At 35.2% G+C, this 27709-nt stretch overlaps 1 protein-coding gene across 2 annotated transcripts in view, besides 1 other annotated feature; it reads left to right on the forward strand.

Moving 5' to 3' along the window:
- ZFHX4 (zinc finger homeobox 4) overlaps positions 1–27709 on the forward strand; it is a 186035-nt gene that overhangs the window by 93945 nt on the left and 64381 nt on the right. For both annotated transcript variants that reach the window (NM_024721.5, NM_001410934.1), the window contains exon 4: positions 3017–3248. In NM_024721.5, coding sequence (NP_078997.4) covers positions 3017–3248 — 232 coding nt within the window. The remainder of the gene's footprint in view (positions 1–3016; positions 3249–27709) is intronic.
- Positions 3256–4352: an enhancer, noted in NCBI's record as "VISTA enhancer hs774". NCBI's record gives its function as "enhancer in: limb[5/5]" and the evidence as "EXISTENCE:transgenic organism evidence [ECO:0001131][PMID:17130149]".

Here is a 27709-nt window from a genome sequence, read left to right on the forward strand (position 1 = left end):
TTACTAGAAGAATGTATTATTGCCACTGTACTCCAAACCACTAATGAGAAATGTTTTTTAAGATTTAAGATTGTATAAATGCTTTGTACCTAGAACTGATGGAAGTAATTGGTAAACTACTTAATCAAGTCCCACTTGGAAGTGAAAGGGAATGAGAGGATAGAAAATGTACGCTGGGTAAGAAACCCAACAAGTCAGTGGAGTTCTCTTTACAGAAAGAAACAAAGATAGCAGTAATTAATGACCCTGACTCTGTGCCAAAAAAGCTTTCTTCTGACAACTCCAACTTAATTAAAACTTAAGACATTTCAATGGCCTCCGAAAGCCCCTGATGGGGTGAACTCTTGCAGACTCGTGAGAAAATTTTGTAAATTAAAGGAAAAGATGTGTGTTACCACTAGTGCCATGGCTCTAATCCCTGACAGTCAAAGAATCTATTTAGCCCAAGCCTTTTCTTTTAACCGGCTCACACCTGCAGGCTTCCTGGCACTTCCTCTGCACCAGAGAAGGCAGTTTTTGTGTTTTACGGAAGATCAGATAATAGGAGCCTTGCTGTTCCTTTTGTTTTTGTGCATTGTTCATTAGCCTGTGAGTGTTGCAGGCACACTTGATATGCTTGGCTTGCTCCAGAGTAGAGCATGGCCTGAAAGCTTTAGGTGGTGCAACACAGGGTGAAGATGGGTTGGTGGAAAAAGTAAGTTTTCTTTTTTTTTTTTTTTTTAATGTGAAAGTGGCTCAAATTAAAACTCACAGTTGATGGGGCAGTCTGAATGGCTGTGGCCTGCTGTTCTTAACACAGCGGAGTGACAAGAAACGAGGTTCTGTTCTAGACAGTGCAGATTTGAGACAGAAGGAAATGTGTTGTTAAATAGCCCTTGCTCCTTTTATTGGTACCATTTTTAATTCACTTGAATCAACAAGCATAAGGATTCCCAGTAGGTGTGGAAAGGAGGCATACTGTGCGTGCTATAAAGAAAATCGGGTGGTGATCTATTTATTAATAAATATATCGAAGACTGAAATCTTAGAAATGACATTGGTTGAATACCAATTGGGGTGAATGGTTACACGATTTACATGAGAAAAAAAAAGGGAGTTTAATTTCTCCTCCCTCCCCTCTGGAAAGTGTTTTGGTGTGTTATAATAGCAAATACCACCCCCACCATCCCACAAGGCACTCTCTCTCACACACACTCAGGCGTCCTGTGGCCTCAGGCAAATCTGGTCGCTGGGACTAGAGAAGGTCAATTCCTGGCTTGTCTCTTCCCTTTTGGACCCGACTTGAGACTGGTGTGTTTGAAAGGCACAGAAATGTTCCTGTTTAGATCCAGGCTTGGGTATCTTTTTAAGTGTCCATACTAAGGAAAGAAAAGCTTACCTTCAGGTACTCAAGATTCTCATCTTTTGAATCTTTCAGGTCTTTGTTTGCTGAGGTTAAGTATGCAGAATTTATTCAGAATTTGTTTTTGCAGGTGAAGAGCCATAACTTACATGAGCTACGCTGCACTTCTATTTCTGGGAATGGGAATGATCAGAAACGTAACCTTTTACAAAAATTTTGAGAATGACGCTTTAGAACAAAACATCACTTCATTTGATTTTTTAAAAAATACTAAAAGTGTCCATGAGCGTTAACCAAATATAATATATGGGTCCTGTCTTTTGGTGTTTGGAAAGGCTCACCAGCTAGTTATTCTTTTCTTACTAACCATTTTCAGATGCTAAAAGCCAGGGAGGTGGGGGAGGGAAGGTAGAAATCAACATGTTTGATCCTGTATATAAAGGTTTTCTTTTTGTTTGTTTGAATTTCAGAATGCTAACCCTTATTCAACTAATCTAAGAACAAATAAATACCACCTGTGCCCATTTGTGTATTTTTTAAAAGAAGCACATAAAAATATTTTAATGAATTACTAAAACTCACATAGTTTATATTGAATCACAGTTATTAATATTCTTCCTCTTTGTTGCTATTCTTATTTTGGGAATTTTCTTGTTTGTATGGAATTGAACTACCCCAATTAAAATGGGGGAAAAGTTTTTTTAAAAATAAACTACTGTAACAGAATATGTTTGGGAGTTGTAAAAGTTTTTCCATTGAAAAAATCAGAATTTAAGAGGATCCTGTTACATGCTGTGGGCAGAAATCAGAGTCAGCAGAGCTTGCGAAACAGATTTTTTTTTAGCAAAAATTTGTTGTGGGTCACTGTGAATGGTAAAAAAGAAAAAGCTTCACATCATAGTGTCTGTTTTGAATTAGATTAAACTTCAAATTAAGTTACTTAACTTTTTAGTGTATCTAACATATAATTAAGAGAAACATTTTTGTTTATAGAAAATGTAAGTTTATTCCATGCATGCAGATTTATGGAAAATTTAAATAAACATTTATGTTTGAGTCAGTATTTGTAACAAAGTAACCTCTATCACGGAGGGCTCAGCTGAAATAGTCCCAGATTGTTTTTGCTTTGAGTTTGTGCTACACTAAAATATTAATTAAACCTGAGACCATTCTCATCTAGAAAATACCAAATGCCATGCAATTTGTGGATTTCAGCTTATGGTTAAAGTTTTCATCTTAACTATGTTTAGCATTTAAACATCAAGAAGTACCTCATTCATGTCAACCTAATTACCCAGGTATTCTCATACCTTGATGAACTTGTTTTTTTTTTTGTTTGTTTTTGTTTTTTGTTTTTTTTTTTTCTGAGATAACTAGTTAACTGTATAAGAAGACTCAATTTTCTTTGCATATATCTGTTGGAAAACAGTTCCTCTTAGGAGTGGGCTTATAAAGCTGGCGTGCTGCTTTCCATCTAGATTTACACATTATTTTAAATGTATCTGCACGGAATTAATTCACTTTTCAGGTGGTAGGCTGGGCTGCGTCTTATAAGAAAAATGCATTTGAGCATCTGTGTAACCAATGTTTATCATGCCATGGGTGGGTGTCACCTGTTTTGTTATCCACCATGGAGCTAGACCATTGTTCTAATGAGCCTTCCCTTCCTTTCAGCACTTGCAGAAGCAAGAGGGTGCAGTGAATCCCGAATCCTGCTATTACTACTGTGCCGTGTGTGATTACACCACCAAGGTCAAGTTGAATCTGGTACAACATGTCCGTTCGGTGAAGCATCAGCAGACTGAGGGCCTACGGAAGCTCCAGCTCCACCAGCAAGGCCTGGCACCAGAGGAGGACAACCTCAGTGAGATCTTTTTTGTTAAAGATTGCCCACCAAATGAGCTTGGTGAGTAACCCTGAAGAGGGCTGTCTCTGAGCCTCCCTCCACACCACTTCATCACACACACACACACACAAACACACACACACACGCCTCAAACTCTCCAACTCGAGCCTGTCCCCCAGTGTAAAACACGGCAGCTCTTAATCTCTCAGAAATGAACATGTTGTTCCCATTAAAGCTTTCTTTTTATATCAGTACCATACGCGGTCCTGCATGCGGTGACATCTTTAGCAGGCATGCAGGAGGTTATGAAACTCTACCTTGGGAGGATCTCACAGTGAAATTTTTCCCCCCAGAGTGAGCTTTAATTTCCTTTCTCATGACCAAAGCAATTTGGCTTTCATTTAAAAGTTTCTTTGCTGCCAGCAGCTAATAAGTGTAACAGGACTGTAAAACATTCTGAGACAAAAAAAGATTAATAGTTTTATTTGAGAGAGACCAGTAATTTAAAACATAAGACCTAGTCAGGGTCCATTATACAATAATTCCAATGTTAATGCTACTTTGCAAAATGAGCGCTTAACTTGTTTTTGCTTTGGTTGACCTGGTGCAGGGAAACAGCTAACACGTTTTGAATGGCATTCCAAAACTGAATTAATCTCTGTTCCCTAAAGTGTCCTGTTTATATATGAAATCCAGAAACAGATGGTCGTGAGCTAAAAACCACATGCGAAACTTTATGCATTAAAACTACCCATATTGGAATTAAATGAGACGGCTGTACTTTTGGCTTTAATTATAAATGGATCAAAGGTGGTTCAGGGTTTGGGTGCATAAAAAAGCCTATTTAGATAAATCATTATTATGTATTTAAAAAGTCCGTTTTCCCTTTTTTTTCTTCCTTTTGGCAAACCTAGGTGGTGTTTTAAATCTGTCAGGAGACATATTTACTCAGTACACCTTTATAAATATACCAGTGTTAAAAATATACTTGAATTAGTGGTTGTGAACTTCAAAGTAAAGTTTAGACAGGTCAGGTGAGAAGCGTCAAGGTCGCCTTTCTCAACTGAGCATTCTTATCTACTGTAGGCCAGTTGGAAAATCAAATCAGCATCAGTGAATCAGAATAGAGCACAGAGCTTGAGAGCGTACTCCATTACATAGCAACTCTATTGAATCCCATGGCAAACCCGGACCAATGAGGGCACTGCAGCAGCGAAAAGTCATCCATAAAAATGAAAATGGCACTCTAATTAGCTGCTAATACTGAACTAATCATTGTGTTCTTCACTTGAAACTATAATTTTTATTGAGACATTTCTTTTTTTCCCCCTCTTATTATTTCAAATTTTATGTAGTGGCGTAAGGGGGTCTGGCATGACTGGGCTGCGTGCCACGATTTTTCTCTGCAGAGACCAGCAATCACGAACCTATAAAGATATTTCATATGTGCGTTTTAGTTTTTATTTTACTGCAGTTTAGCAGTTCCTTGATGTTAATTAATCACCAATAGTCTAAGGGTGTTAGCATAAAAACCTTGGTCTTAAGTAGCCTCCAACTGTGCTTGGATAAGAATATTTTTGCTAAGGCATATGATGTGAACATAATTTAAATAAGAGTTAGAACCATAAGCAAAAAGATATGTTCAAATGATTATCCACCAAGGATAAAAAGTAAAATTAAAAAAAAAAACACAAAAGCATGGTAACCCATCATCAGTCTTTGGTAGGTTTTACCAGTGACTATAAAATTGGAGTGTGAACTCCAGAAAATCTTACCAGCCAACCTTTACTTATAGCACCTCTTTAACGTGTCCATGCTGAATGTCAAATCTTCTATTTTTTGTTTTCTATGTCTTACAATGTGTTTTAAATGAGTTGCTTTTAAATGAAGCTGTCTATCAAAGTACAAAGCATCTGTATAACCTGTCAAATTAATTTTCTCTGTAAGCTTATACTCAAGTCAGGAGTCAGCTTCTGGTTACTACCCAGTGGTTGTAGAAAACTAAGGAAGGAATGTAAGAAAGATGTGAACTCATTTGATAAACCAAATGATATCAGTAGGGAAAAATTCTTGTAATAAGGATGATGTTTTAATAACCTATGCCATATCTTTTATAAGTCCCTTGCTAATGCTTTTTGGTTTAGCAGTTTTTATTCATTAGAATGGAAATTTTTATTCTAATTTCTTTTTAGCAGTTGGCTCTTATCTAGCCTTCTCAAGCTCTCTTTTGGCTAAATGCCAAACAATTCTAAAGACATGTAGAACTAAACATTGTAAAGGCACTGTAATGATTTTCAGAGATAAGGATAGATATTATGAGTTTAACAAATACATTTTTGTAGTTATACTTAAAGGTAGACAGTATTTTGGACCAAATAGAAAAACCCAAGAAGTAATTTACTGGCAAAAATCAGCTGTGGCATTCTGAGGGAAGCATTGGATCAATCCTGTTGTCTTTCTTTCCAATTTGAAGTGAGACACATTCATATTAACTTTCTTAAGTACCAGATTTTGTTTTACAATAATAAAATATATTTCTTTAGTTGGATTGACTTTGTATAGGACCTGGGTTTACCTATTTCTGGATGATTTTAACAGCTAGGAAATTGTTCGGGAGAAGATAAATGGTTAGCACATCAGATACGTGCATGGGCCAATAATTTATCAATAATGTGAGTATTTGCTAATTTGTAAGTTGTGTGGTTGAGTTTATCTGATTACTTCATGACATCTGTTGTTGCTAAGATATTGAATTGTGATTTTTGCTTTTTAAGGAGAGTTGTAAACTACTGATATTCATCCAGTGGTTTTTGTTGTTTTATTTTCTTCTGTTTGTTCCTTACTAGTAGCTTTTACCTCCAACTTTATTTTAAAAGTGATTCCTGATAATGAATTTGCACATTATTAATTATTCATTTTTATCTTTGTAATGAGTACATTGTAATAGCAAATAACTATTGTCTACTTAACAAGCTTTAAGAATAGAAAGTTCCCTTCCAATACATGAGTAATTAAGTTTTTTTAAAGACAGTTTTTAAAATATGTACTATAGGACTGGGTCTTCAAAACGACAAAACAACCAATCATCAACTTGGTGAAAAAATTGATATTTAGAATGAGTCAAGAAAAACAATACAAGCCTGGTTCTTAAACTGGGTTTCTTAACTTTTCATTTGATTTTGTTGGCATTGTGGATGCATAATTTGGGTGGAAGATTTTTTGACCTATTAACTTTTTATCACGATGCAGAATATATCTTAAACATAAGCATTTCCCTTGGCATCAAGTGTAAGCAAATTTCTAGTGATATTTAAATGTAGGACTATAAAATATTTCTACTGGCATTTCCTTACTACTTAGCAGCTGTTACAACTGTCTCCAAACATCTGTTAAGTAAAGAGAGATTTGTTTGGTAATATACATTATTAGGAAAGCAATCACAAGGCTGGGAGCGAAAGTTTCAGGTGGATACAAGCACCTTGGTTCCTAGCTGGAAAATTGTATAAACACAGATTTTCAATAAGAATGTTAGCCTTCAATTGAATTCCATAAAGTATATTGAGTGTAGCTTAACATGTTTAATTTCAGACATCACCAGCAGTAATCAGATAGGGATTTCAGAAAACATTTTATTCCATTTCCATGGAATTTCCATTTTACTAGCTATAATCTCAAATATGTAAATGGTAGCCAAAGCTGGATATGATGCTTCAGTTAAGAATTTTTTTTTTTTTTTTTTTTTTTTGCCTATTGTTTCTTCTAGCATCTTCTTGCCAAATCTTCTGGAGCGCTTGTAATTTCCTCTGTACAGAGCCCAACAGGCTCATCAGCAGCAGAAGGTAAACATAATAGATGTGAGGAATTTCTGGAGATTTATGAGGTTTAGTTTTCTTGAAATGTACACTCTGTCTGGCTATGCTAGTACACAGCCACATGTGGACTCTACAAATTGAAAATGTTATAAATGGGGCATCACTTACCCCTTGTTAAGAATAAAGTTTAAGAACAAAAGTTGTTTTCTGTGAGCGTATTTAAAGATTACATTGCTATTTAAAGATAGCAATGCAGTAGAGATGGAAAGAAATAGTGAATACTTTGAGCCTTAAATTTTTAATCTTGGAATTTAATATGGATTCATTTTTTCTTAATTCAGTATATTACATTTTTATCTTTCTGTACCTTCTTAAACCTTTCTGCCTTCCATTTATAATATTGGGAAACAACTGGATATCTGTACAAAATATCCCAATAATATCAGACAACTTCTAATGAAGACTATCGACATTCCTGACATTTGGCATGATGTCCTGCCAAAAAGGAAATTAAAAAGTACAAGCCATTATCCGAAAGACCATCTGTTTATGAAAATAGTTAATTTCACATCACTTTCTTGAGCGTAAAAACAACCCCCGGCGAAGGACAGAATATGCCTCTCTCATAATCATAATCGTTTTTCATTGCTTGTTAAAACGATTCTTTAACTTTTTAAGGGACTCTATTGATATTAATTAATCAGCTCTCGTGCTATAAACATTTCAAGCACTAAAGTGCAAGTTATTCTTCTCTGCCAGGCATTTCTCTACATCTTTTCTTTTACATATATCTTGCTAGAAGAGGCTAGCACAGCATTAGCAGAAGAGCATAGAAAGGTCTCTTATTCCTACCATTGTTTACCAGTAGGGTTGCCTGATGGAAGGGCTTATAATCATGGTTGCAATTTTGTCATGGCCTCACGAAATGGCATCATTTTCAAGGATGTACATAAATGATAGTGTGAATCTTATAAAGATAATTATTACTAAGAACATCACTTTAACCTGGATCATCTTCCACAGAGTGCTGGAAAAGGGAGAAAGGCAGTCTTTTATCAAAGGCATGTTTTAATGAAAGCTCGTCTGACTTTGGAGATGAACAGCACTTGACGTGTTGTTGCATGATGCGTTTAAAATAAAAATAATTTTGCTCGGTTGCTTTCTGATTTTGTTTCTCCTGAATATTGGTCCTTCATGATGCTTCCAACCATATTTTAATTATTAAAACTGAAATGCTAACCATTTGAACATACACTTTTGAAGAATAACAAACTCCAGTGTTGTTTTCTTTTTTTAAAAAAGTACATATTGATTTGTTTATATCTCTCCCTATTTGGTGATACTGTGAAGCTAGGAAAAATGAATGTTTCATTTTGCAGCATTCTTGCATAATGTATATAAAATATGTGTGCACCTCAAGAGCATTATGGTGTCTTTGAGAATAATGGTAAAACTGACATATTTCAAAATGTAAGATAGCCATCATTGGAAAGCAACATTTAATTGTTAATGAAACCCAGGTATTACCTTGAAATAAAGATGGGTTTTTATTTAGCTTTGTGATATTTTAAAACAAAGTAAATAATGACTTTTCTTCTCTAACCCGGTTCAAATGGGGCTTCCAGTTGTCAACATTGTAAATATCAATAAATATATTAAGAATCGCAAACAAATTAAAAATTGAGTATTTCCCATTTTGTAAGCTTTATGTATGTTTCTCATCTGTGGTTATTTTGAAGCCGAATTACTACCTAGCAATTTCTTCTTGTCTGTGAAAATAATATACAGAAGATGAAATAATACAATGATGGTAATCCAGCTTTTTAAAATAATTAGTCTTTTATGCATATAATATTTATGTTATTGTCTGTGCAGGAGTATCTTTTTCTAGAACCGTTCTTTACCAAATTTCTTGTTGGACAAATAAGATTAGATTGCCAAGTCACAGCTGTGTATGCCAGTTGATATATAATTGTAGAATTGATAATTCATAAAAGCTCAGTGCTATTTGGGGGTTAAAGTTTTATTTTATTTTATTTTATTTTATTTTATGTTTTTAGATGTGAGAAAATAAGGCTGCCTGCTAAATATATTTTTCATTTCTTATCTAAGTTTTACCAGGTTTAGACTAGTTATTGACTCAGTAAATGTAAAAAAAAAGTTGATATGCTGTCAATATTAATGTAGATGTCAGACCAACACTGGTCCCTAATGTATGTAAGAGCAAGTATTTTTTTACCTTGATACAGAAAGGCAGTCATGTGTGAGATTTAATATACATCCTAATCTGTCTTGTCATTGCTCTAGCCATGGGTGATGTGCTAATGTGTGGGCCGCCATTTTCTTTTTCTCCTCACACAATGGAATAGATACCCATGAATGACAGTCAAGCTCCACTCTGTAATTATTTTGAGGACAGCCAGAATATATAGCAGGAACACTGCAGGGTTACCTTTAGACTTAAAGTCTATGACATATTTAAACATCCAAGCAGCCTGTAATTACCAAAAACAACCATCCTTCAAAGGTCCATTCGCAGGCATACTGAGAATTATTATTCTTCCAAAATTTTTTTAAAACTCAAGTGAATTTTTATTATGTTTAAATATAATAAAATACTGAATCAGCTTTAGCTGCTACTTTTTTCCCCAGACTATTGGCATCTTAACAGAATGTGCCAATATATATTCTAATTAGGCTATGCATTACTTGATCAGTTGGTGTCATTAAAATGACAAAGTTCTACAAAATAAAAATATGAAATACACAATCCACAGCTAATATTAATTAGATCTCTTCATTTCTAATAGTTGCAAATATTTAAATTTGGTACTACCTTTTAATTGAGGAAATATCTGATGAAATTTTAATATGCTATGTTAGTCTAGACTAAAAGAGTTTTTAATCATCAGGGCAAAAATATAATTAAATTTACATAAATTTATAATGTAAAGCTGTATCCCCCTAGAATCATTTTCTATAATGAAGAAAATTGTAATGTTTATAGACTGTACCATACTGAGTCAAATGAGTTTTATTCATATGTGGCAGCAACATAGTTGAAATCTGTATATTAGTTAAAATGGTTTCATGGTATTCTAGATATTTTGAACATATTTTGAAAGATATTTATTCTTTAAATGTTGTCTACAGAAGCTAAAGTAGCATTGTGGATCTTCACCCTATAATGGAAATCGGTGAAAACAGTGGTAAAATTTTAGCTGCAGATTTTTGCAGGCAAATATTCCCTCAGAAATAATCCCATTGGGAGAGGAGGGAAAAAAAACCTATTTTTAGAATAAATGTTATAAATTTGCCTTTCTACTTAAGTTTCCTACAAGTGGCTCTTCTTTTCTGAGAAGCGTAATACAAAGGCTAAATTGTTACCTTATGTTTTCATTGGGTAGGTTTGTGACCACTGACAGTTATAATTTACAAAAATTACAATGATTATAGACATTAACATACTTGACGGCAGCTATTATTTTTATTTGAAATACAAAGACCTTCAGTGGGTAGTGGACATTAAAACCTTGTCTATAGATGCCAAGTGAGGTGGAGAATTGAGGCAATTTTTCAAAGAATTTAGATTAAGGTGGCACATTTTTCTCAATTACGTAGATAGTTCGGATGCAAATGGTCATTTGGCTTGAATGTTCTCTACTTTCTTTGTATGGATCTTTTGCCAATAAACTGGTTATCTGTTACCAGTAAAACAGTCCAGATTTTGACTCTGAATCTGAACGGGTTCACTAAATATAATAACAAAAGGAAATATTTGTTTCCCCTTGATTTCCTCAACTCACGTAATTCTTGAAACAAACCCGTAACGTGGATATTATTTTATTCCTATTTTACAGGTGAGGAAACTGAGCTTTAGAGAGGTCAAGTCTATTTTTAAATTTACACAGCTCCATTATTTCAGTAACAGAACTGACATTTGAAAAGCAGTCTAACTTCAGAATCTATTGTTTTAACTATTCTAGAAATTAACACGCTATAGAGAATGAGCAGACGTTTTGAGACAGAACTTTTAAAAAAAAGCATTTCCATGATAATCCCCTGCTATTCAAAATCAATGACAAAAATTGCTCGTCATTTTGTTCTTTCTTTTCCTTCACTAGCTATCAGTTCTCATCTGGGAAAACTACTAACAACGTATGGAATAGTTTCATGTAAAGTATCTAGTATGAAGTTAGACATCGATGATCATAAATTTCACTTTTTTGGGCATTTTAGATAAGGAGATTATCTGAGTTTATAACACATAGTTCAATGGAAATTAGGTTTGATAAGACACAAGTCAATGCGATATAGTAAACAGTAGACACATCAAATGTGTCAAATTTCAGAAGTGTTGATATTTTAATAGTTATATCTTTTAGTATCTATAGTGTGTACCAAGTTTTGGTTTAATATCTCCTGATAACCAACCCAAAAAATAAGAAATGTATAAAATAATATTCTGTACTCCCTAGCTAAGTTTTTATGTAACATGTAATAATTATACCTTTGTTACAAAAGCAAACAAGAAAAAAGCCCTGAATAATTGTGTTCCCATAAGTAGAACTTCGGGCAGGGATCACTGATTGCAGTTTGAAAACCAGAAGCCCCTTGGCAAGAGTGTGCCACTGTTCACAGCACTTTTGAGGTTCGGAGGTTCAGGGCTATTTGTTCACCATAACGAAGAAAAGCTCAAAGCATGAGATTTATTGGCAGAAACCATCCATAGCATGATTGCTGTCATTTTCTAGGAAGATCAAATGACCAACATATTTATTTTGCCATAGGGGGGTAGTCAAATTTGTTAACTCAGGGTTACACAATCTCTTTTCCTGTAAATAGCATAATCACTGTGTATAAATGCATATTTTACATCCCACATTTTAACTATTTTATATTGTTTTCAAATCAACAAAACAACAAACAATTTTATATTGTTTCAAATCTTATTGGCATACTGTCACATGAGTCCCCAACAAAAACATGTCTTTGCATTTCAGTTTATAGTTTAAGGGGAAAATAGAATGTATGTGATCAAGTGTTGTAAGACAGGTAAGAACAGGTCATGAGAACCCAGATAAGGTAGCTAATACATAAATCTGAAACAAAATGCATGACTATAGAAAAAGAGAGTCTTGAAATACGGGCAGGTTTTCAACAAGGGGAGAGGGAAGTGATTAGGTAGTGATACTCCAGATGAAGTAAAACCTGGGAAGCAAAGGCTCTGAGTTTCAAAACCACAGGGTGTGTTGGAGGTCAGTAGCACAGTTTGGCTGAGATGCATGGTACTTGTTAGAAAACAAGATTAGAAAATATTACTGAAAGTGGCCAGGTGCGGTGGCTCATGCCTGTAATCCCAGCCCTTTGGAAGGCCGAGGTGGGCGGATCACGAGGTCAGGAGATTGAGACCATCCTGGCTAACACGGTGAAACCCCATCTCCACTAAAAAAAAAAAAAAAAAAAAAAAAATTAGCCGGGCATGGTGGCGGGAGCATGTAGTCCCAGCTAATCTGGAGGCTGAGGCAGGAGAATGGCGTGAACCCGGGAGGCAGAGGTTGCGGTGAGCCGAGATCATGCCACTGCACTCCAGCCTGGGCAACTGAGCAAGACTCTGCCTCAAAAAAAGAAAAAAGAAAATATGACTGAAAGCATGAGCCAGGCTTAGGAAAAGATAGTTAATGATTAATAATGATGATGATGATGATGTTGATGATAGCCGACCTTTACTGACCAATCTCTGTATGCCCACTACTATTTAAGTACTTTACACATCCAAGCCCAATTATTCCTCAGAGTAATGGTAAACAAGTGGTACCAACATGTTCCTTATTTTATAAATAAGAAAATTGAGAATGCTTTTAGGCTAAATGATTTACACAAGTAGTAACTGGCAGAGGTCAGGAAGGCCTGAGGAGTTTGGAATCTTATGAAGGGAAGATATCAGGTTGGATAGTAACATAGTTGTCTCCAGTTAGGAAACCTTACTTCTTCCTTACTTCCTGCCCAACAGGAACCACATGCTCATAGTCTTCTCACATTCTTTATGTGTTATCCGTATTTCCAGAAGCACCATTGCTTCTTTGCTTAACAATCCTCAGTTATCTTTTATAGGCTAGCATTTATTCTGAGGAAAGCCTCAGAACTTTGGCCTGTACTGCTATACATCCCTCATCAGTGATCTTCTCTAGTACTTACTGTATTGTAGAACTTAGCATTCAGTTACATATTGAATTTTATTCTTGATTATTAATTTATTTGTTCTAATTTTGCCTCTTGGCTCTCAGTCCAGATTTCAATTTTTTAAAAATATGTCTCCTGCTTCTAATAACATCATCCGTGCTGTTCAACTTACAGTAGAGATTCTGGTGGATTAACATGAATCGTTTCTGAGTTAGTTCTGGTCAAATAGACTTTGGACATTGAAATGCCATTTTGGGGTGTTTGAAGACATATGAAAGCTGACTAGTTGAAAACTGAATTTCTCCCAAATCAATGCTGTTCACAGCCACTTACATTATGAGATCTATACAATATCAAACCAAATAATTGCATTTTGTTATAAAGAGCCAGGTTTTTAGTTCTTTGTATACAAAGGAAAAAGTGAAATATTTTAAAGTGCAGGTCTGGGGTCTGGGCCATACTAAGTAAATTGTTTAACTTGATTATGGTTACTGTGCTGCTTATGTTTTTAAGGGAACTGATCAGATTATTTTAGCATACTGTCAACATTGCCTTGATGATTAAATTAGATTAATAAAATAGTTCATGAAAACATTTATTTCACACAAGTGTGTTATTTTGTATTCTGGAAAGTTTGCAACTAAAGTATTTATTTGTCATTATATGGTAGACAAAGAAATCAGCTGGCTTGATATTAAGTGACTTCCATTATTGCATGGCTGTTGGCTCATGTAAGACTAAACTGACATATGATTGTGAAAGTCCTCAAAAGAGCAATTAAGCGTTTTGGCCAAAATCCACTCCTGGATGAGTAGGAATTAATATCAAAGAGTGCACCAACAGACTGTTTTGACTGTCTACAAAATGGTAAACAAACATTTTGGCTAAATTCTGTCTTTTGATTATGGCATAATAGAGCAATTTGTAAGAAACATTTGTATGAAGTGCTCTAATGGGGAATCATAGAGCAAAATTACCAAGGATAATGAGTGAGCCTTAGACTATATCTGTGTTGTGCAAAAACAATATTTTGTCAGGAAATAAATATGTGCATATCACGGTAGGCAATTGTTTTTAGCTTTCTGCATTAATAAAGATAAGTAAATGACTGCAGAATCTCATTTTCACTTTGTGCTGTGAAGACAGTACATTTAGCATTTAACCAGTTTAAATTGATTTATACAGTCAAAGTAAGCATTTCAGGATCAACACAGATCTGTGGGTCAGAATTATCTAGTTTATTCATCTCCATTAATCAAATTAGTCAGATAATTACCAAATCTCCATTTCAATTTGTGGATTTGAGATCTGAAGTATCTTGATTTGTTTGTGTAGGGTTTTAAAAGTTTAATTTCTACGCTATTAATGGAATTGAAAATAGTGTTGAATTATTTTAGAAATAATAGGCTGTTTCATTAGTGTCTTTGTAGCCTGTCATATAAATATGTAAATAAATGTGCATATGCATTTAGAAAAACAATTTTTCAGATATGAATGCACGACAGAATCTTCTGAGATTTTACGGTTTGCTCTGTAAATAACTATTTGGATTTCACTTAAAATGTACAATACTTGCTTGATTTTGTTTCAGATTTGATTTCATGTAACATGCCGGTAACTTCTAAAAGATTCATTCTCATTACTGATTATTTATGTCAAAATATGAGTTGTCCTATTGATGCTTATCTATATTTGCATATTGAAAAGCCTGGACAATTTGTTCTGTACATCTGAATGTGGTTTTAGAAATTGTTTATGTATAATTAAGTGGTTGAGAAAGTACACTTTCCTATATACATGGTCCAAGGCATTTTCTAGTAATAATAATAATTGATTGCTTGCTTTGTGTTAGGCACTGGAATATACTTTAAACGTATTAATTCCTTAAACTTTATCACAGCCAAATTGAGGGGGAAATTATTACTATCTCTGATTTTCATCTTAGGAAACTTAGGCACAGATATTAGATAATCTTAAGTCACAAAATTGAGAAATGGTGGAGCTGTGGTTTTTATTCAACATGACTCTTGTATGCTTGTTATAAAGCATCACAATAATGAATTATTACTAAAAGTGCTATTATTGAAAGGATAACAGACCAAAGTACTCAAATATAAAAAGTAAAAATAAAAAATCAAGGTCTCCACTGGAAACATTAAATTTTTCCAAAATTCTCTACATAAAGAATTATTGGCTTGAGATAAAACTTTGATTAAAAGGTTTAAAACTAAAGCACTGATAATATTTAATTATCTTCTAATGAATCAAGTTTGGTCTTCTGTGAAAGGAATAAATCTCTGGCTCCAAGTTTTGAGGACTTATTGAACTACTATCATCAGTTATCTTTTTTTGCCTATTTGGTATTTGTGTGTGTGTGTGTAATGTAAAGGACAGCCCCATTTTTAATCCAGTAGCATAATTCCCAAGTTGGAACAATTCAGTTACAGAAACTTGCTACCTTTTAGGTTCCCAGGGGTAAAGTTTGAGTTTCCATCCAGCCTTGCATGAGCACTGAAGGATGGATTACTGAGATCTGCCTTGGTTGAGTAACAGCCACTCAACCAGAGAAGAATTTTTAAAGGGGCCTGGAGGCCTATGCCTTGCAGTTTTCTTCTTGGTAGATTGTTTCTTACTAAAATTAAAGCAAAAAACTTTCAATAAGTTCTTTTGCTTAATATTTGACTTCAATTTGCTACAAAAAAGACAAGTCAGAAACAGACTGAAAAACTGATTAAACATAGCACAAAAGATTCTCCACCTTCACTTTGAGCAGAAATGTCTTTTCCTTGCCATTCATTGAGGTACTTTTCAATCATATTTTTCTGAATTTCAAGAGTTTGGAGAATCCTACTTCATAAATTCTCTCTTCACTTTTTATACAGATCACACAGCACTGCTGATTCTGGCCACTTTGGGTGTCTGTTGCATACCATCACAGCTTATATGGTGTCCTGGAACGTTAGCTGTTTCAAAGAAAACCATTAATCTGATGTATTGAAGTTCAGTTTGGGGAAAAAACTCCAGAATTCTTATGTTTTAAGGTAGAAGGTTTGGATTTTAACGTAGAAAACTTTTGATAAATTCCCATTTATGTACTGTCTTTATAAATGATATTAATATCATATTGGCATACCAAATTTGAGAACATATTTTTATGCCTGGAGCTATTTTTACTGTATTTAAAATGTTGAGAAATTTCATTCCTGTACAAAGTACTGAACTTATTTTAGGAAGAAAAGGTGGCAGAGTAAGGAAGAAAAATCGCTCTACTATATGAGTATGGAGAAAACAGGATTTTAATCTCAGTCTTACTATTAAGTGGGGGTAATCACCTAACATCTCAGAGATTCTATGTCTTCATCTGTAAAGTGAAGGTTGTAGCATAAATTATCTGTAACTTTTAAAATTCTATGGTTAGTAATTTTTCACATGAATATTGAAAATGTGTAAGATTCAGTATGTATTAAAGTTGCACATTATATTATGAAAAATATATTCTACACAAAACCTTACACCACTCAATGTATAGATATTACTCATGAATATGCATCATGATTTTAATGTGTACATCTTAACTATACAACCATGAAACCTTTAAGTCCACAGATATAATTTTAAAATTTGAATTGTATTTTTTTCAAGTAATTTGAGGACTTGGTTACAAAGGTGATGACCTTATATATTCGTTTACTCTGGAAGAAATTCTTATAATCTGGAAGTTACAAATACTTCCAAAACCTAATGCTATATGGCCAGAGCCCTGGGCCAACCTCAGCCATTCTATTGTGAAAAGTGATTCTGTAACGTAACAGCAACAAAAAATTCTGAGATAAATACAACATCAGTTCAAGTTCATGACATGCAGGTGTGTCACTGGTGTTTAGTTGGGGGAAGGAGGTTAAAAAAAGCAAGGAACAGATTTGTGCAAACAAACTTTACAATTTTGAAGTAATTAGTGAGCTGTGCAGGTGTCTATTAAAACAAACTGACAATAAATCTTGGCTTCTCTTTTGACTATTGCTTCAGTTTCGCAAGATTTGTGCCTCAAGGAGCAAAAGAAAATGACTCCAGAATTAAATACCACAATGGTTTATTCCCAATAAGAAATATTTGTGAATTTATTATTTGTGTTATTATTACAACCACTAATAAAGATTATGGTTTAATCATTCTGGAAGACCACTGGACAAGATCATATGTTTCTTGGAGAAAGGAAGGTCCAATAATAGATCCTTAAGCAAATAGTTCTTTGGTTTTTCAGAAGTTATTTCTTCCAGGGAGTGCCTGATGCAGATTTCTTCTTCACAACATTTTAGGAGCACCAAAGTTGTAACAAGGTGCCCATGGCTGTATTGTCTACTGGTTCTTAAGTAGAGAAACTAATTGCAGGTAAACATAGCCACAGAGTGACATTTTTCCAGCTTCTCCATCTGCTCTTTTTTTGACACCCCTGCCATTAACTGTCATTTTCCTTTAAATATACGATGAATCTGAAAGGCCAGCTCTACATCACATCATTTCAGATTAGGGGCAGTTCCTTTGAGTTGAGCACTGTTTAGGTGTCAGAAAGAAGTCCCTGACCTCTCTGGAACCACATTGCCGTGGGGCCTTAATTAGCACTGACTCCAGCCATTACTGAAGAGAGCACAAAGGAGAACACATCATTTTTCTACTAAGGAAGTTAGTGTCTGACCTAATAACTTGTCCAGACTCGCAGGACACTGTAACCATACAATAACAATGGGCATTATTCTGCTGCTTCTGCCTCATGTGAAGCATGGAATGAGGCATAGAATGAGAAGGAATTACAGTTACCTTCCAAGGAACATTTTAGAGTTTCCTCTATCTTTGATTAGGGGTGAAGTTGTGATTGTCTTTAAGGAAAAAAAAAGAGTACTATTAGAGGTGGCATACATACAGGCGTTCTCAAATATATGTACTTAAAATTATTTAAATCATTCCATGTGGGTCTGTGCATTTGTTGATTTATAAAATAATTTTTAAGCAGATTTTTCAAATGCAAGGACAGTTTTTAAAATGAGATAAACTGTTTTGAAGTTAAAAATCCCTACTTGATTTCAAACGGTAAATGGAATGAAATCTTCAATGCAAATTCATATCTCTACAAAGTAGATTCATTTTAGGAAACACACATGGATTTGCTTTTGCCCTTCCATAATTCCAGCAGATGAATTTGGGGATGTATATTGGCTACTATAAAAATGATTTCACTTTATCCACCATTTCTAAGATCAGAAGCCATAAAACAGTTTAGTTAGTATAATTGCCATCATTTACTCATTTAAAACAGGAATCATGTAAAAAGACTATTAAAAAGAGGTTGGTCTGTAGTTTCATTCTGTTGCTTTTTCTTTTTCATTCTTTTTCTTTTTCCTTTCTCATTTTTTTAAACACTAATACTGGTGGTAAGATTATCATTATTGAAGAATCAACTACACACACAAATCAAAACAATAATTAAGTAGACAAATATAGGTGATTCTTACGAGTACGTAAGACTGGTTTGAGTAGGAAAGCTCTTTAAAAGTCAGTGTTGAAGTAATTAATGCACTCCACTTAAAATTGATCTTCTTCTATAGGAAAACCTGACCTTGATGCCCGCTGGCCCTTTCTCTTCTGACTCATAAGCCCAACAAGCATTTTAAGTATTTTATCTTAACAGAACTTTTTTATTTTTTTGGTGATGTTTCTGTTACTTCTATTAAAAGCAGAACTTTACAAAGCTTTATGGCTCAGCTATAAATATGTACATGGCAATGAAGTTGACATGAAAAGACTCAATTTTAGGCATCTTCTTTTATTAATTTTGATAACTTTTGGGGTGGAAATACTTTTGCACCGCTATAGCTGGAAGGTTAAAATTTTATGCAGTGATACTAAGATGAATGCAGGTATTTCCCAATTTTCAGCTGAAAATGGACAACGAGGTTTTTGTTTTTGCTCTTGAAGTAGATTTTGTGTCAGATTTTGTTCTCAGAAGAGGTTCTTATGCATTTCATGTATAAGAAGAGGTTCACATATACAGAATCCAGGAAAATGTGCTTTGGAAAGTTCTCTTTCATGTTTGACCACAGATTTCTTTTGCTCTGTGGCAACATATCCCCCTGTTGTTAAGTTACAAATTTTGGCTTTTAGAGAATATGAACAGTACTAGAATCAGAACAATGCGCTGCCACTTCTCTATATACTCTACATGATAAAACCAAGCTGAAAATGTGTTCTATACAGGAGACTGTAATAGTTTTCTCTCTTTAGCCTCAACATTCTCCTTTCACTTTTTAGAACCAAATTTCTAGTTTAACCTAAGTACAAAACTATCTACTCAAAAAAAGAATTAAGTGTAGATTTGTAGTAGTTTTATTTAAAGGTAGCCGTTTTAATATATCTTATGTGATTATGTAACTAGCAAAGTATCCTATCAAACATTTTTAAATCTAGTTAAAATGGATAGAGATGGAGAAGGCGGCTGGCCTGTCATTGTGTGTGTGTGTGTGTGTGTGTGTGTGTGTGTGTGTGGACAAATCAAGCCTCTTCTCAGTTGAAGTCCATCTCAGTAGACACTTTCACAATCAAGTTGTCTCTGGGCCAGCTGTCAGCCTGCAAGTAGAGAGTCAAGTACAAAGTAGTGGCTTCCTCCAGGAGAATTCATATAAGCAGCCTTTTCAAGTCCCAGGGAAAATGGAAGACAAGATGCAATCCCCACTGTTTCATTCCTTCTTCATTGTAATTACATCTGGTAACAGAAGAACAAATGATTAAATAAAAATCAGTGAAAGTCTGAGTTTGGAGAGTAAAGATTTCCTTTCATTTGACATTTGACAATATAGGAAAAAGTAAAATAGTAACCACAGAAAATAATAGCCATATTAATTTTTTTGTTTTTGGTTGTTTGTTTTGAGACAGGATCTCACTCTGTAGCCTAGGCTAGAGTGCAGTGGCATAAACATGGCTCACTGCAGCCTCAACCTTCAGGGCTCAAGTGATCCTATTGCCTAAGCCACCTGAGTAGCTTGCACCGTAGGCACACACCACCATGCCTGGCTAATTATTTTTATTTTTTGTAGAGATGGGGTCTCGCTGTGTTGTCCAGGCTGAAGCCATGTAAATTTTAAGCCATTTTGATCTTCAGAACAAAAATGATCCAAGTCTTTTTTTTTTTTTTTTTTTTGAGACGGAGTTTCGCTCTTATTGCCCAGGCTGGAGTGCAATGGCACGATCTCAGCTCACCGCAACCTCTGCCTCCCAGGTTCAAGCAATTCTCCTGCCTCAGCCTCCCAAGTAGGATTATAGGCATGCACCACCACACCCGGCTAATCTTGTTTTTAGTAGAGACGGGGTTTCTCCATGTTGAGACTGGTCTCGATCTCCTGACCTCAGGTGATCCGCCCGCCTCCAAGTCTTTACATGAAGTACTAGTCACTGTCTTCCAAGTTGCCACAGCTTATTGAATATTTGCATGTTTTTTAGTTGAAGGCTTATTGTTCAATTTTCATGGAATATACAGTAAGGGCTATTCTAAGTACCATTGTAAAACCTATTAAACCAAGTTTCATTACAAATATTGAAACCTTTAGAAAAGGAGGAATTCAAAGGATTAGATTGTGGAAGGCCAAAAATCTTAGAGAGTTTTGCATGGTAGTTTAAATCAGGAGAGAAATATTAATTTATAGAAAGTATATTTGGGGATGGTTGTGGAATTGCCAAAGTCCACAAGCCTAAATTTTAAGGTTAAGGTAGGGTAGGCAAGTACATTATCTGACTTGAATGGACAGTTTATATTGGGAAATAATGAAAATGATTTTGAAAATAGAAATTTATAAAAATTACATGACTTTACACAGCTTAGGTAAGATAGCTGACTATTGCACACATAGTATATTTATAGAAATTGTATTATTTTAGAATAGAGAAGATATAGCTGATTTCTATAGAATATGTAGAGATAGATGCTAACACTTAATATGAATTGCAGTTTTTTCACTATAACTTCAAGGAAGTTAATTTTCTAGAAAACTTACTAGTATAACAATAAAATCTATATTTTGATGCTTTATTACAGATACAAATTGTCTGTTAAGAATCAAGACTTATCTTTGGGGTCTTTAAATGTATGCCAAGATTCATCTTGTATTTTTAATTCCCATGACTGCCACACTTGCCGCTGGGCTTTGGGGTGGGGAAGATGAGCAACAGCGTGGTTAAACAAATATACCGTAATACTTCAGTGGCTGAGTGCTGCCTGGAAGAACTGGAACCAACTGTAATGGTCTAACCACACCACCCTGGAGAGTTTGAAAACCAGAACCCAGGCTGGGTCTGAAAACTTAAAGTGTCCAATTTCTTATTTGTAATGTTTTTTTGAAAAAGAGTTATTGTCACTTCTCCTGATAATCTTTTCATAACCAGGGAAAATACAGGCTGTTTTACCACACCGTGAAGAGGTGTTTTTGTTTTTAGTTTTCTGAATTCACAACCTACCCATCTTTTTCATACAACTCCCTGCACAGGTTCCTTGAATGATTTCTAACTAAGGCTAAAATGTCCAAGTATTGGCAATATGTGACTGTTACAACACTGGAAGAAAAGAGTGAGTCTCCTCTAACGTAAAGCGACCATATCTAGAACTGTTTGATGAGGTGGCAACCAGAAACCACTCATGTCCGCAGCATCTCCATCATGGAGGCAGGCACCATGAGATCAGCCAGGCCAGCTATTTTGTCGTATATTCAATCCATCTGTGTCTTGTGAGTATGGCTTGTTCTAGGAGTAGTATAGGTGGTTTTGCACACTTTGCTCAGGTTTAGAAATGAAAAAACTCACTCTGTTGGCACTAATACATGAATTTGGATATGACTTTTTTCCAGAGACAGTGTTATGATTTCTTCAGAATATTATTGACCTTGCTGATAAACAAGTGTTTTTAGAAAAGCGCTGATAAACCTAAAAAGAGATTTCATATGTATAACCATAAGATCACATCATAAACAACCCAGAGTCTGGAAATGCAGAATGAATCCAAAGCTCCTGTTCTACACTGGAGCCTCTGTACTGGTTTTTCAATAATATTATGGGATTAAAATGGCCAATGAGCAACTCTTATTGCATATGTCATAATCTGTGTTTGTTATTGTGTTTGAGTAGTATATTTTCTCAAAACTACAGATTAGTTTTAAGAAACATCTACTTTTAAACAATATTTAGTCAGCCCTTTTACTTGCGTTAATCAACTTGTTCTGCTGAACAAGGTATAGAATTGATAGCTGCTATTGATTGGATGTAGCATTACCTAATCTTCACTAAATGTAGGAAGCTTTTCAGATTTAGAAAGGTGGCAGAAAATGTCTAGTAATGATGCTGCTGGGAATTCAAGCTCAATACTGTGGTCAGTGTAAAAGTGATGTAACTATAAGAGGTATTTTATTATAAGCCTGTCAGTTTTACTAAACGTTTGACCTGGTATAATTTGTGGAGTTTTGGGGTGTGTGTCTGTATGTGTGTGTGTGTGTGTGTGTGTGTGTGTGTGTCTGTGTGTCTGTGTGTATGTGTGTGTATTTAGCAGATGTTTCCATATTTTAGTCTTCTAAGATGTTGTCAGTAACCAGTCTTATTAATACTAATGTGTTGCCATTTTTGTATACTAGGAAGCTAGTATTGAAACTTTAAAAAATTTGCAGATAAAGAATAAGGCATCATAGCATAGAAAGAAGATTACATTAGGAATTCAATACAGAGGAAGGGTACACAAAATCATTACTAAAACAGATATAAACGTGACCTTCACTGTGGTTCAGTAATTATCCTAGTCCATACTATGGTGTATGTATCATGATTTTCCTTTTTTCTCTTTGTTTTCATTTTTATCTGGGTACTTCACTGGTGAGTAATTGCTAAAGGGAACCCATTATGCAAGGCGAGCATTCAGTTTGCAAGTGAATTTGCTTGTAGCTATTGCCACATTTGAACCTCACTAATGTATGTAAATTAAAAACTCTGGTATTCGGAATTGCTCCTGTTTGAAATAAAAACAGAAACTGATCATTACAATCTGCAAGCCAGGTATTATCACTGGACTAGTGAGCTGCTGATGATAAATTGTACTGAATAGCTTGTGGATAGAATATTTTATCTCAGTTCTCTATCACACAGCACTGCATAAAATAAGAATGATTCATCAAGCATGAGAGCTGCTGGTTTATGAAATTCATTGCTCATGGCAAGTGTATTTTTTAAAATTCAAAAGACAAAGCAACTCACAAGGGTTATTTAGTAATCAGTGTGAATTACTTCTAGGTATAAACCTTAGTGGAAAGGAATTAAAAATACATTTGCTGTACAGGAAGCATTATTGCTAGCGGAGGTATAATTTGACTACTTCCCATCTAAGAGCCTTATTTTGACCACATTTGATTTGGATGCCACCTCTTTTTTTTAAATCAAAATTGCATAATCCATCATAATGGAACCATACATTGACTAAGACGGTGTCATACTTACAGCAGATAGAGCAAATGCATTTGCATCATCCACTCCTTTCTATCCTTTTGCCTGCAGAGGATATTTTGTTTATTCAAAAGGACATGTAAAGAGGAGAGGCACAATATAAAGTCATCTTTCTTTCATATTTACAATAAGAATGTTTCATTTCTTCTTATGTATTGATGTCCCAAGGCAATGTTCCAAATGAAAAGATAATAACTTACGAAGAAGTGTCAAAAACTAATTAAGTTTTGTAACTTGTTTTTCCCTCGCACAGGGTATATTTTTCATCACGCTGTCCAGTCACATGCTGAGATTCTTGCTAACATTATCACATGCCAGTCACACCAAGTCTCAGTGGTGCCTCTCCTTCTGTCATTATTTTCAGCATCAATTAATTTTCTTCTGACCTCGCCTTTAGAGAATGTAGCAGAGAATTATCAGCACATGCTTTGCGTCTATTTTGAAGGCATTAGGCCACTGTGTGCATTCAAAAATGGAGTCAGCCAAACATTATATTTTCTCACCTGCAGGGTTGCCTAGTAACCTGAATTAAGGATTTTCACCAAGCCTTCAAGACGAATAAACACAACTGGAAGGCAGGTTGACCCAGGTGGGAGAATCAGACCTATTGATGGAGATCAGAATTTTGAACGAGCCAATAGAAAACAAAAATCCTTATTAACATTCCTTGTGGAAACAGTTTCCATAACTAAATAAATCTGTTTCACTAGTCTAAGAGAACATTCAAGAACAGGATTCTCTCTCACACATACTCGAGTGTTTACTAAGTGGTATTTTGATGCTCCCTTTTATCTCACTCTCTCTTTCCAGGCCTAGAGTGTACCATTTCTATTTCTTTAATGAAGCATTGATTATTTGTGAAAATATTAAAACACCACCTAGAAATGCTTCCTCGTCACGATGTGAATCCAGGTTCAGGAAACATCGTCTTGCCTTATTCTATGTAATGTCTGATTATACATACTGGCTGTATACCTCCCGTGTTCATTCAGCTTTCACTTGATCACTGCAAAAAACGAAATTCCGAGTTTGGTGTGTTGCTTTTGAAAAGAAAGATTAGTGTGTTCTGTAAAGGTGGGGCTTATTCTTTGTAACACTGTTGCAGTTCGTCCTTGACATGTTGGATTGGATTCCTTCAGAAAGCGCGTGTGTCAGAAAGAGCGTGTGTGTGAGTGTGTGTGTGTGTTGTGGGGAGGGTCCTAGCAGGAGGGGAGGAAGGGGAGGCTCCTCCCAAAAGGTACAAAGTGAAGGAGTCGCACAATTAGGATGTTGGCACATCCTGACAGTCCTCTGCAAATGATGGTGTCAGGCCACAGAGGGACTGAGCGTGGCAGAAGTGACATTCACCCTAGCAAGATGGAAATAAACGCCCTGTTTGATAAGAGAAAACAGACAATTTATGTCCACCCTGAAGAGTTACCAGCTAGTGAGCCATTCCTATGGGTCAAGTGCTGCATTTGCATTTTGATGGGATGTTATCAAGTAATTAATGCACCAGTCAGGATTTATTACCTCAGGAGCGAACTGAAAGGTTCATTACAAAATCGGTTTCACTTGAAGATAGGCATTTCCTCAGAGTTAGCTTTTGACATGTTGTTCCTCACTCTCTCTGCCCGTGGCAGCCATGGTAGAAGGCCAGTGAGGTGAAATTCATTGCTTAATAAGGGCATTCACTTTGGGTATTCTTGTGATAATAAATGTATACATCAAGGCCGCACTGCCTTGTCAGTTTAATTGCTTCTTGTGCTCCTTAACAAGCCAATCTTAATCAGTCTGGACCACGTTATGAATAATTTAGGGATCAGCAGACTTCACGCTTAATAAGATGTACCAGATTATAAAACTTAAGTGCACTGTTTATAGAAAGCATGCAAAACACTTTAAGTTTTTATTAGCAGCAAGGAAAAAACAAGCAGTGAGTTATTCTAAAATTTGCAGTTTGCGAGCAACAGCTGTGTTTCTTAATGCTGTAACCCCCTCCACTTTTGTTGAAGGCCACAGTTCGGCCTCTCGAGCCTTCTAAGCCTTGGTGAGACATAATGGGAAATTTGAGCAGGCTATGAGATTAAAGCTCAGAATCGATGGCCAACCAGCAATTGTCATTTTAGAAAACATTCTTTTATCTTTTTAAATGCAAAACAGACCTCATTTGAAAGCAGTTTCCGATGGCCAAAATTACCTTTTTGTTGTTGTTGTTCTGTAGCACACGTGAATTTTTGACTTAATTGACTGGAGAGAATGGACATTGAGCCTTCTAACTTTTCTTTAATTAAAAAAAAAAAATTGAAAGATGTCTCCTTTCTCTCACAGTGCATTTGTCATTTAGAAGTGACTTTAAATAATGCTTATGCAAGATGCAGTTTATTGTTAAAATCCAACCAAAAGGTTTAGCCTTAAAAAAGAAAGGCAGGAATGTATACAATTAGAAGAATGAGCAAATCTCTGTAAGTTTATTAAGATTTCTGCATTTAATAAATATTGTTTGATTTAAAAGGACCGTTTAACCTTATTGTTTTAAAAGAACTCTTTGTCCTCCATTTTACCTCCGCATTTGTGGGCTATAAGTCGTCCACAGAGTAATGCATCATTCAGTTTATGACATCTAATAAAGGCCTATTGCAAGCATTAGAACCAGGTGCTTCAACCATTTTCTTTTCTGCTCCTAGCCTATTGTTCTCTTCTAACCAAAATAGAAAGAATTCCATATGGGCCAGCTTCATTTTCATCACTTTTATTTAAATCAAGACACATGCTAATAACCACGTACTTTCATTTGGCGTTGCTGTAAATAATAAAAAGTATGTGCGGTTAGGAGTGTGCTCACATTGATTGAACAAGGACTCACGTGTATATATGTTGGGACAAAATTGTGCATTTTTAGTAATTTGCTGAGGTATTAAAAGAAGGTTATTGTTGGAAATGAATTTATGAGTCAAAAATATGCGTGGCAGTAAATGAAAAACAACTCCAAACCTATTTCTCAACCTATAGCTGGACCATCATACTCCTTTGTTCTTGTGCAGGTTAATAGAGATTGAGGAGATGGGCAGAGGAAAAGCAGTGCAATTTTCTGCTATTTAAGCTTGGCGAAATGGTACTCTTCAGGAAGCAGGAAAAAGTATGAAAGCGTAATAGGCATTTTAAAAGTAGAAGTCCATATAGCTGCTTGAGGGATTCTCAGATTTAGGCATGCATAGAATCGCGAATGAGATAATCAGCATTGTGAAATTGAAACCTGTCTGCTGCCTGCTGCTGTTCTTCCCTCTTTCAGTGGAGTGATTTGTAACACTCATCTTCTTCAGGCAAGGCAGCCTTCAAGATTATCCAGAACTGTCAATAGTAATTGCCAAAGTATTTTATTACCTACAGAAAATCAAAGGAATTTTATAACCAACAGTTATCAAGTTTCAATACACCGTATAAAGAGAGCAATTTTAGTTGGAATACAATCGTGTTTGGCTTGCTTTAATGTTCTTGAGACAATTCCTGTGCAACCAACTACAACATTCACTGTATTTAAGCTAGAGGCAAGAAAACGCATATGTACTTGTAGCATAAAAAAATTACATAATGCCTACAAGCTTCTGCAAGCAAGTGGTTTTTAATTGCCATACAAACTCTGCCTTAGCTAATTACTTCTGAAAAGAAAGAGGGTTTTGTGAAACCCAAGATGCCATTTGAAGTTCTGCCATTAAAGGAATATGGTTTAACTGGGGCATTCCCTATATGATATGGTACAAAATGTGCCTCTGACTTAGAAAATATGACTTTACAAAGTTTGGCATTAAACCGAATGGTTACCGAGTGCATCATTGTGTATACACAGAAGGCTTTTGCAGTACTTTGGATTCAAGATTATCAGCTTTAGGCCTCAGAATTATTTTTACACCATAGGGACAGCCACTTTCAAATAGTTGTTGTTTTGAGAGTCAATAATGTTTTTCAAAAGAAATATTAGAAGGAGAAAACATTCCCTACAAACCTATTTCTACATTCACATTGGAA

The sequence above is a fragment of the Homo sapiens genome, chromosome 8 (assembly GCF_000001405.40).
Source record: "Homo sapiens chromosome 8, GRCh38.p14 Primary Assembly".
NCBI lineage: Eukaryota > Metazoa > Chordata > Mammalia > Primates > Hominidae > Homo > Homo sapiens.